We start from the raw sequence: 11,714 nt of genomic DNA on the forward strand, positions 1-11,714 counted from the left end.
TCTCTAAACTTCCCTTCTCGCTTCATTTCATTCATTTCATCTTCCATCGCTGATACCCTTTCTTCCAGTTGATCGCATCGGCTCCTGAGGCTTCTGCATTCTTCACGTAGTTCTCAAGCCTTGGTTTTCTGCTCCATCAGCTCCTTTAAGCACTTCTCTGTATTGGTTATTCTAGTTATACATTCTTCTAAATTTTTTTCAAAGTTTTCAACTTCTTTGCCTTTGGTTTGAATGTCCTCCCATAGCTCAGAGTAATTTGATCATCTGAAGCCTTCTTCTCTCAGCTCATCAAAGTCATTCTCCATCCAGCTTTGTTCCATTGCTGGTGAGGAACTGCTTTCCTTTGGAGGAGGAGAGGCGCTCTGCTTTTTAGGGTTTCCAGTTTTTCTGTTCTGTTTTTTCCCCATCTTTGTGGTTTTATCTACTTTTGGTCTTTGATGATGGTGATGTACAGATGGGTTTTTGGTGTGGATGTCCTTTCTGTTTGTTAGTTTTCCTTCTAACAGAGAGGACCCTCAGCTGCAGGTCTGTTGGAGTACCCTGCCGTGTGAGGTGTCAGTCTGTCCCTGCTGGGGGGTGCCTCCCAGTTAGGCTGCTCGGGGGTCAGGGGTCAGGGACCCACTTGAGGAGGCAGTCAGCCTGTTCTCAGATCTCCAGCTGCATGCTGGGAGAACCACTGCTCTCTTCAAAGCTGTCAGACAGGGACATTTTAGTCTGCAGAGGTTACTGCTATCGTTTTGTTTGTCTGTACCCTGCCCCCAGAGGTGGAGCCTATAGAGGCAGGCAGGCCTCCTTGAGCTGTGGTGGGCTCCACCCAGTTGGAGCTTCCCGGCTGCTTTGTTTACCTAAGCAAGCCTGGGCAATGGCGGGCGCCCCACCCCCGGCCTGGCTGCTGCCTTGCAGTTTGATCTCAGACTGCTGTGCTAGCAATCAGCAAGACTCCGTGGGCGTAGGACCCTCCGACCCAGGTGCCGGATAGAATCTCGTGGTGCGCCGTTTTTTAAGCCCATCGGAAAAGCGCAGTATTTGGGTGGGAGTGACCCAATTTTCCAGGTGCTGTCTGTCACCCCTTTCTTTGACTCAGAAAGGGAACTCCCTGACCCCTTGTGCTTCCCAAGTGAGGCAATGCCTCGCCCTGCTTCGGCTCACACACTGTGCGCGCAGCCACTGACCTGCACCCACTGTCTCGCACTCCCTAGTGAGATGAACCCGGTACCTCAGATGGAAATGCAGAAATCACCCATCTTCTGAGTCGCTTAGGCTCAGAGCTGTAGACCGGAGCTGTTCCTATTCAGCCATCTTGGCTCCTCCCCCCAAGGAAATTATCTTCTAAGATTTTTTTCAACATTTAAAATTGAGTGTATACTATGTGCTAGATCTGGTCTCATGTGAATCTCTCAGTTATTATCTTTACATTTTACAAAAGAGAAAGTGGAGGTTTAGAAAAGTTCACTTATTGGGTCAGGGCTACACAATTGATAGGGGGTTGGAGAAGAATTTAAAGCTATAATATTTGACTATCCCATATCTTTAAAAGCTGAAACTGTCCCGACTTTACTGTTTGGACAGCATTTGCTGTAAGAACTCACTTCTTTTGTTGAGTCAGATCCTACTTTTTTTCTCCAGTCTATATTCAAAATGTCATTATCATATGGTTATGGATTTATGACTAAAAGGCTATATATGAAGTTAGTTTCTAGAATCAGACTCTCTGGAGTCTAATTCCAATTCATGACATATCATTGCGACCTTGGATAAGTTCTTCACTATTTTTTGCCTCACTTTCTTCAACTGGTATCTAGGTAATTTACTGTTGTGTGTCTAGAGACTCCCCGAAAATTTAATGTCTTAAATTAACATCTATTTTTATATATCTCATAATTTTCCAGGTGAGAATCTGGGCAGAGATTGGTTGAGCTGTTGTTTTTCTCCCCAGTGTTGACAGATGTCACTTGATGGTATTCCGTTGGTAGGTGGCTGGTCTAGGGTATCCAGGAAAGGCTTCTCTCATGTCTGGCACCTTGGCAGTGATGATTGGGAGACTGGCTTCATATGCAACTATTGACCAAAGGGCAGGCAGGGCCTCTACAGGTAGAGTGCTAGAAATTCTTACATGATGGTTCTAGGATCCCAAAGTGAGATTTCCAGTAATGAAGGTGATTGTTACATGGCCTTTGATGACCAAGCTTCTGGAGTCAGAGTGTCTTTTCTATTGTTTTCTATTGGCCAGCAGTCATAGCCTGCCCAGATATAAGGGAAGAGGGCATAGACGTCACCTTATCATGGAAGAAATATCTAAGAATTCACAGTCATATTTTAAAACCACTGCACCTATAAAATAAGACAATAATAATTCTTACCTCACTGAGTTTTAAGTCTTAAAAAAAAGCTACACTTGTTAAAAGCTTATGACACAGCTTAGCATGTAATGACTGATCTGAAATACTTGAGCTGTTTTTATTTACAGGTGGGCTGAAATTCACAGGAATATCTCTGCAATTGAAAACTTACAGAGTCCTTCTTGCCTTCTCAGAGCAGTGGAAACATTAAGGGTTGGGTGGAAGCCAGGGTGCTTGAGGACACGGAGTTAATTTAGACACAGCTCCCACGAGAGGGGCTGTGAGATTAAAAAAATAATCCATTTTAGAGTATACAAGAGCTGCTTCCATAAGTGATCAAGGCAGAAGGGCTGCCCTGGATTTATTCATGTCTGTATTGGAAGTGATGGCACGTGTGTGCTCCCCTTATGTAGCTACTGTGCTGGGCACACGTACCAAATATACTTAGGAGGGAAAATAATAAATCATTAACAACTATGAGCTTCTCCTTGAATGGAATCATGAGGGGGGAGGATCCCCCAAGCAATTCAAACTCAATTACTCTGTTCACAGAGTGTTTGAAATAGAAACAAATGAAGAAGGCAATTGCAGAGGCAGGCAGTATTCATCAGTGCAGCTGGATGCATTTTGTCCTGGGCCACTGGTTAGATTTTGTAAAATAAAAACAGGAGTAAAAATAATAAGAGTGACCCCTCACATTTGCAGAGCATACCAGAATTAGCAAAGTCACCTGCTAGTCGTCATCCCCTTGAGTTGTCCTGTAAAGCGCAAATGGTTAATAAATTGTCCAGTGGAGTGACTGGATTTTAGACACATCGATGGTCTTCCCCACTGTTACAGACTATCAGCTGTCAGGCCTAGAGCCCAGTCTTTTGGGTCCTTGCTTAGGCTTATTCCAGTTTATTACCAGTGCTCCTATCTAGTAAAGGTCTATTTAGTATAAAATTAGGAAATGGTTCAGCTTTTGTTCTTTCTCTTACAGAAGAGAACAATCCAATAATGAGAACATCCTTGAGGATCACAGAGTCCAGAGTCCCTAGAGAGAGGGAGAGCAATCATGTCTTCTAGACGGCAAGTTACTTACACATATGTCTAGGTAAGGCCATATGTGTAGAACGGGTGAGGTGTTTCTTCTGCCATAGACTCTCTCTTGTCTTCCATCTAAGTGTCCTCTGTTCTGCTAGCTTTTTCAATGTCTGAGTCTGGATGAAGGTGACTCACCTGCATGACAGTGGCTCATGAATTACTGGAGCCCATGGCATCCACCATAGTGACTTTGTTAGTTTGTTTGGGCTTTCATAACAAGCACAGACTGGGTGACTTACACAACAGAACATTATTTTCTCACAATTCTGGAGGATGGAAGTCTGAGATTAATGTGTAAGCAGGGTTGATTTCTTCTAAGGACCCAGTCTTTGGCTTGCAAGTGTCTACTATACCCCACTGTGTCTTCATATGGTCTTCCCTCTCTTCATATCTGTGTCCTAATCTCCTCTTCATATTTGGACACTAGTCATGTTGGATTAGGGCCCACCCTATGACCTCATTTTAACTTCATTACCTATCTAAAAACTCTGTCTCCAAATGCAGTCACATTCTCAGGTACTAGGGGTTAGACTTCAACATATAAATCTTGAGAGGGACACAATTAGCCTATAACAGTGATCTTTAGAGTAGATTCACCTGCCTGTCTCCATCACACTGAGCATGTTAATTCACATGTTAGGTATTAGCATTAAAGTGTGCCAGGCTCTGTGCCAATTAGGCCTGTAGTGTAGAGCAGAATGCAATGCAACCACAAGCCCAAACTCACAGAGTGAAAGAGGAGCACCTCTCTTATAGTTTGTCAAGTAGCTTTTAGCTGCATTGCAATTCCTACCTTAAAGGTTTGTTGTGAATATTAAAAAGTTTACACACGTAGAATACTTAGAATAAGTGTAGGCAAACAGAAAAGGTCTATTCAGTGTAAAATTAGGAAATGGCTCAGCTTTTGTTCTTTTTTTTACAGAGAAGAACAATCCAATAATGAGAGCATCCTTGAGGATCACAGAGTCCAGAGTCCCAGAGAGAGACAACAATCATGTCTTGTAGATAGCGAGTTAAGAGACATCAGTCGCAACTACTTCAGGCTGACTTGTGATCAGAGACCACCCAAAATGACAGCACGTAGAAAGTCCTGTGTGGCCCTGATTGCACCTATAGGACCAGGTGTTAGAGAAATAGCTGGCTTCTATCCAAGTTAAGTTCAAGTCTGTAGGACAAGGCATTAGAAAAATCATTGGTCTGTATTTGAGTTAAACTCAAGTCTGCAGGAGGGCTTCCTTTTGATGCTCTTTGCCCTCAAGGATAAGAAATGGAAGGTATGAACTGTGGGCCTTATATGGGACTATACTTAGAAGGCACTCGGGAAACAGTCAGTGAAGGCAGAAAAGAAGGGGGACTTGTGAAACCAAATCAAAGATAATTTCTCCATGTTTTGGCTTGGCTGATTTGGTATTACTTAGGTGACAAGAGTAGAGAAGGGAAATCAAAGAGTAGAAAGGGTAATCAAAAGTGATATTCAGATCCTTGAGATATCCATTAGGCATCTACATAGAGATGACTTACGGGCAGTTGTGCACATAAATCTGGACTTCTAGAGAGAGGTCAGAGCTGGAAGCTCTGGGTTAGGAAAATAAGCATGCCAATGTCATTTAAAGCCCAAGGGCTCGCAAGGTTAGCTAAGGAGAGTATTCTGAGAGAGAGGAAAGGGGGCTAGATCAATCTTGGTCCTATGCTGGTATTCTTACAGTTAGGGCTTTAATGGAGAAAGAACCAGAGAAGATGCTGAGAAAAAGTCACCAAGAATCTGGTGTGTAAAAAGGATAGGGTGGTGTACTGGAAGTCAACAACAACAACAAAAGTGTTTTGAGGCAGAGGGGGTATTTATTACATTTAATGTGGCTGTAATGCCATTAAATAAAAGAGCAGAAAAGCAACCATTGAATTTGGCAAAATGGAGGGAATTATGTCCTTGGTAAGAACATATTTAGTAGAGAGGTAGAGGGAAAAACCTAATGGAAGTTAATTGAAAGTAGAATGTGAGATCAGCAAGTGGAAAAAGGGACTATGGTCAACTGTTTTAATAATGTTTTCAATGAATGGGACTCAAATTTTGAATGACCATGAACTTTGCTGTTAGTAGCATCTTACTGACATCTTAGAGATTTGCTGCCAGAGGGGAACAGAACCAAAACGTAGTAAATTTTCTCAGTTCCAGTTAAAAAAAAAAAAAAGTTGGGATACCATCTTGGGTCAATTAATCATAATCAAGCACTCCAAAAGAATCTGGAAGCTTCCAGATAAATCTAAGGCTGGGATGGAAGAAAGAGCATTTCTCAGATGCGGACTGACATGAGGGGAAGGGATGTTTTTGGGTAGAGGAGGAGTGGTGCTGGATAAATAAAGCAGAATATAAGGACCAGATAATTGGTTCACTAAATGTACGTGACAACTATGTGAGGCAGATAGGGGAGTATTTCACAGTTTATGCAGGAAGAGACAGGCTCCTGCAGCTCCCCAGTGCAGAGTATAAATTCATACCCAGATGTAAAGGGCTTCCAAGAGCTTATACTCATTTCAAATAGTTATATAATGTCATGCATTGAAAGTCAATGCTATATTTAAACAGCCGTAGAAACAGAAGAAGTGGATCTTTAGGAGTTAAGCAGTTGTTTTCTGGAAACTCTCCTGTGCCCTATCAATGATGCCACATGGGTGCTATTTACTTTGCCCACCCATGAAGACCACCTGAGGGTCAGGAATAGGTGACATTCTTTTCTAGGGATCTCAGCAGAGTTCTCTTCATGTATGCTCTGCTAAAATTGTTAAACCATGAAAAGTACTTTTTTGCATAAATAAGCTTTTAAAATCCTATTTTGCTGTGTTTCTCTTCTATTAATTTAAGCAAGCAGCTCAAGATCTCATGAACTCAAGATAGTACATCTTCTTTACTTGGTCATGTCTAGACTCATTTATATGCTTTGAGAGGAAAAAGTGAAAAGCAAATAATCACTCTTGGTTCTGATTCATTATTAAGTGTCTGTGAATGTGTGTGTGTGTCTTTTTCTCAGGCAACAATATGATAATGCCATATTTTATATAAGAGAATAAGCCTATGGTCATAGAAGTATTATTTAAAGAAAAACACACAGTAACAAAAGTGATTTGGGGTTATCTGGAGCTACATTTTATTTTGTATGTGATATAATTATATGTGGACTTGATTTTGATAATCTAGACTCTCCTGTCTATAAAACTGCTGAAATGTCAGGCCCTATTTTGTATTTGCCTTGTCCTGGTAGTTTAAGATAGTGCTGATTTCTAAGGGTAGCTTGTGGAAGTGAAGAAATTATGAGAGTATCAGATTTGTTGCTTAGTGTATGCTCAGCCTCTTAGATTACACATTGAGCTAATCATTATAATTTGTTGTGAGAAAATAAATATTTTTCAACTCCAGTCTGATTCTTGAATAATAGGATTGGGCAGATCAAGGCTGGGCCTTTACAGTGACCTGCTGTACATGTGTGTGGTTAATCTACAGTCAGCATCACATGAAGGCAGTCTAGTGTAGCAAAAGGAAATGGAGTTTGGATTCCAACAGTTTGGAGTCAATTGAGTTACTTCTGCATCTTACTACTTCTTTGATTTGTGGTATATTATGGCTTCTTTGGGTCAAGTTTTCTGATTCTTAAAGCTGCAATGATAATATGTAGGTTTAAGGATTTTCATGAACTTTCAGAAAATTATGGTAAATAGCAGTGCCAGTTCAGCATATGGGAGACCCCTGGAAGGATGTTTCTTTCTTACTATGCTGGCTTTTTTATTTTCTGTCTGCTTATGTCAAATGGTGATCATAGAAGCATGAACACCAGTGGAATTATGGTCATCCTCGTAAACAGAGCTTTAAGAAATCAGTAAAGATTGACATTACGAGTACACAGCTCTTCTTGTTCAACTTTCCAAAGGATAAAAAATTGTCAGCCGGGCGTGGTGGCTCATGCCTGTAATCCCAGCACTTTGAGAGGCTGAGGTGGGTGGATCATGAGGTCAAGAGATGGAAACCATCCTGGTCAACATGGTGAAACCCCAACTCTACTAAAAATACAAAAATTAGCTGGACCTGGTGGCACGCACCTGTAGTCCCAGCTACTCAGGAGGCTGAGGCAGGATAATTGCTTGAACCTGGGAGGCAGATGTTCAGTGTGCGGAGATCCCTCCACTGCACTCCAGCCTGGGCTACAGAGCGAGACTGTCACGAAAAAAAAACTGTCAAAATTGTACTAAAACAAACAAAAATATATGATCTGTATTTTACCGTGTATCATGTCATAATAGCAGCACAATATAAACATCAGTATTTTTTTAATTATGAATAATTAATGGCTGCCCTGACCAAAAAGAGTATGGTCTCTTCATACATTGTCTTCATGCTGTATCTAAGGGATAGTGAGTATTCCCTGTTATGCTCTATATTTGGCTATACTGATATCATGAGATTTCACAATTTCTGCCCTGAATGTGAATGGCTTATAAAATTAATAAAAACAGACCAAAAATAGCATTATTTGTAAAATGTCTATGGATTTTCTGAGAACTAGCTTATATTTTATTACAGTTGATGCTCCCGGTAATTTTATAGAAGGGCATTAGTATACCCATGCTATTTTAATAGATGAGGAAGCTGAGGCCTGAGGAGTTTAACCAAGGCAAGGAGCACCAGTGATATTTGAACAAGGACATTTGTCCTTCAGCCCAGCTCAGAGCTTATATTGAAAATAGCTAATTATTGTTTCAAGTCAGTTATTCTGGGTCAGTATTTTGTTTGACACATAGGATATATTTGACACATAGGATATATTCAGCAAAATGATGTGGAGCGTTGCCTTAAAAATGAAAGTGTATGTAAATGGGAAGGGGGTATGGAGAGATAAACCTGAGATTCAAATTCAACTTGGATTTATTAATGGCTACTTTGTACTAGCCATTCTCAGTGATCTTCTTCTGAAATATGATTGAATTGTCTCAACATACTCATTTTCAGTTAAGGAAACCAAATTTTAGAGATATAAAATAACTTGATTAAGGACACACATCCAGCAGATATGGGAGCTAGAATTTGAATGCAGCTTTCCTTAATACAAGCCCAGTGCTATCTGTATTGTTTCCAATGTGTAGTTCATGAATACAAAGGCATTTCATCAGGCCTATAGAAATTCACAAAAAAAAACTTATTTCAGAATTTTCTAAGTGTAAGGTATGAAGTGTGTGTGTAATAGAATTCTCTTGCTTATTTGTAATTGTGCACCTATGAAAATCCTTATAATCACAACATATATAAAAATCAAGTGGTATTTTATGGATAAGCAGCCAGAAACTGTGACTCTTCATGTTAAGACAGAACAAAGATCTGAACTGACAGTTTTCAAGACCAGTTTAAAAGTCAGACACACGCGTAAATGAAGGGTCTTTTTGTATCTCCTTGTTGGTACTAACAAGAATACACCAGTCCACGTCACCACATTGCCATTTGTCGTGCACCTGGCAAGCTAAGAACTGAGCAGAAGCTGATCAGAAAACTTTTTATGAGAAAACCCATCCTGAGAATGAGCTAAATGATGGGAATTTATTTTTAAAGTGTGAGTCAGTGCTTTGAGAGCCAGTATGAAATGCCTAATGCATGGGAGATCCATAATACTGGGAATTCATTAAATGTTGATGAATTGAATGAAATGGAAAATTCCTTGGATTGCTTCATTGTATTCATGATTCTGGTAATCCTAGAACTACATGAACTATTTCTCTTGTATTTTGGACCCATTTGGAAGTCACCCAGAAAGGCTTCCTGAATTTTATTTTTTTATTTTTTTATTTTTTTTAGACAGAGTCGAGCTGGAGTGCAATGGCAGGATCTCAGCTGACTGCAACCTCCGCCTCCCGGGTTCAAGCAATTTTCCTGCCTCAGCCTCCTGAGTAGCTGTGATTACAGACACCCATCACCACACGGTGTAAATTGTTGTAATTTTAGTAGAGATGGGGTCTCACCATGTTGCCCAGGCTGGCCTTTAACCCTTGACCTTAGGTTTACAGAGCCTTAGCCTCCCAAAGTGCTGGGATTACAGGAGTAAGCCGTTGCGCCTGGCCCTGAAATGTGTTTTATGAGGATCAGGGGTTTAGGATTCCTGTCATTGATCTATACCAGCTCAATAACATTGGGTAAAACATCTAACCCTTCTAAGCCCACCTGTTTTTGTGTCCTCAGATATAAATCTATTTTCAAATGGAGATTATAGAAATCACCCCTTCATTTTATAAGTGAAACACATGAAGCCCACAGAGCTTGCTTAATGTCACAGTAGTCTTTACTGTGCTTTACAGTAGTTGAGATAATGGAATTTTAAAATAACAATGAAAATGAATAACATTGTTACCAGGTATATGGCCTTGAGCAATTCATTTAACTCTTTTGGCCTCAGTTTTTTCGTCTGTATAATTGAGGGTGTTGATAGTATCAATCACGGAAGTTAGGATGAGATAAAATAACCTTAAAACATTTAGCACAATGTCTGGTATGTGAGAGCACCCAATTTCCTCTTTTTTCTTTTCTTTTCTTTCTTGTCTTTCTTTCTTTCTTTCTTTCTTTCTTTCTTTCTTTCTTTCTTTCTTTCTTTCTTTCTTTCTTTCTTTCTTTCTTTCATGTCACCTCCTCTCTGCTAGGCTCTGTGCTAGTGAGAGGTATATGACTGTGACAACTACAGATCAGCTCTCAGTCTCATAAATAATGCAACCCAGCAAGGAACACATACATGATAAAAACACATATTATTTTTAAAATAGTCCTTGTGATAATTGCTATGAAAAAAACAACATGAAAATATAATACCAATTGAAAGAAGAATAGGATCCAGAAAAGCATCTTAAGGAAAAGTCATCTTTAGCAGAAACCTGAAGAACACCTAAATTGAGAAGATGTCATAAGAAATCTAAGTGTCAAAAAAACAACAACACGTAAATTCAGGTAAAGAGTGGGCAATTAATGTTAAGTAGAAGAAACAGAAGCCGTCATTCTCAGCAAACTAACACAGGAACAGAAAACCAAATACCACATATTCGACTCATAAGTGGGAGTTGAACAATGAGAACACATGGACACAGGGAGGAGAACATCGCATACCAGGGCCTGTTGTGGGGGTCGGGGGCAAGGGGAGGAATAGCATTAGGACAAATACCTAATGTATGGAGGGCTTAATACCTAGATGAAGGCTGAGAGGTGCAGCAAACCACCACGGCATATATATACCTATGTAACAAACCTGCATATTCTTCACATGTATTCTGGAACTTAAACAAGAAAAAAAAACACAAAAAATAGCATGTGCTAAAATATGCAAGCATAAAGACCTAAGAGACAGTCACAAGTCCCTCTGTGATGGTCTCCATGCCTGCGTTCCAAGCATATCTCCCATTGTTTCCCCATGAACTCTTCACTCCAGCCGTACAAAACTACCATAGCTCCTCTGCCACAGTATCTGGGGTACTTCCCCTCTCTTCTCCAACATCTTATTCCCAGTTTCCTTTCAAGATCAGCTGAAACACCTCTCCTGGAAAGCTTGCCTTAATGCCACTGACTTGAAGATGCACTTTCTGTGACTGCTCATACAGTCAGCATCGCAGAACATACCAGGCTTTATCATAATGGTTTATCCATATGTTCCGTCGCTTTATGTATTATGAGCTTCTTAAAATGAGTATTCATAATGCAACCCCCATATGACTCTACAAGGGCATATGTGTGTGTATCTTTGTGCAGAGTACATGTTGAATAATGCATGAACACTATAAAATATATAAGATTGTTATTCTCATGAAAATTATTAAGAATTAGTAATAGTTGCAAAAGGACTCTGAGAAAGCTTCAAAAAATATCTTCTTTACAATTTTTTTGACAGAGTTGGTCAAAAATGCCATCAATGGTTTATGTTCCACTTCCATAGTCTCATAATTTTTGCTGGCAGCAGATACCCAGCCAGGATATACAAGTTCCGCACCAGTTTATATCTAGGTGGGGTCCTATTACTAAGAAGGTCCTATGACCAAGAGAAGGTAGGAAAAAGTCATATGAGCCACTTCCAGGCTAAACCACTTTCTGTGGCATTCTTCACATACTGTCTCTCCCAACCTGACTACTAGATTCCCAGAGTGTCCATGGAAGCCATGTGGTCAATGAAGATGGGAAAGTCTTTGTTATCTACTTCCATAATTGATTGGATTGGAAGGAATTCCTTCATCTACTCATCCAATGACTGGACATTATTTAAGCGAGAAATACCTTGTACT

General features: G+C 40.2%; 1 annotated feature.

Annotated features, from left to right (window-relative positions):
* Positions 444–945: an enhancer, noted in NCBI's record as "H3K4me1 hESC enhancer chr8:137207595-137208096 (GRCh37/hg19 assembly coordinates)". NCBI's record gives its function as "activates a minimal SCP1, AML or CMV promoter by ChIP-STARR-seq in primed H9 embryonic stem cells {active_cell/tissue: H9 hESC(primed)}" and the evidence as "EXISTENCE:reporter gene assay evidence [ECO:0000049][PMID:30033119]".

This window comes from Homo sapiens, chromosome 8 (assembly GCF_000001405.40).
Source record: "Homo sapiens chromosome 8, GRCh38.p14 Primary Assembly".
Classification (NCBI taxonomy): domain Eukaryota; kingdom Metazoa; phylum Chordata; class Mammalia; order Primates; family Hominidae; genus Homo; species Homo sapiens.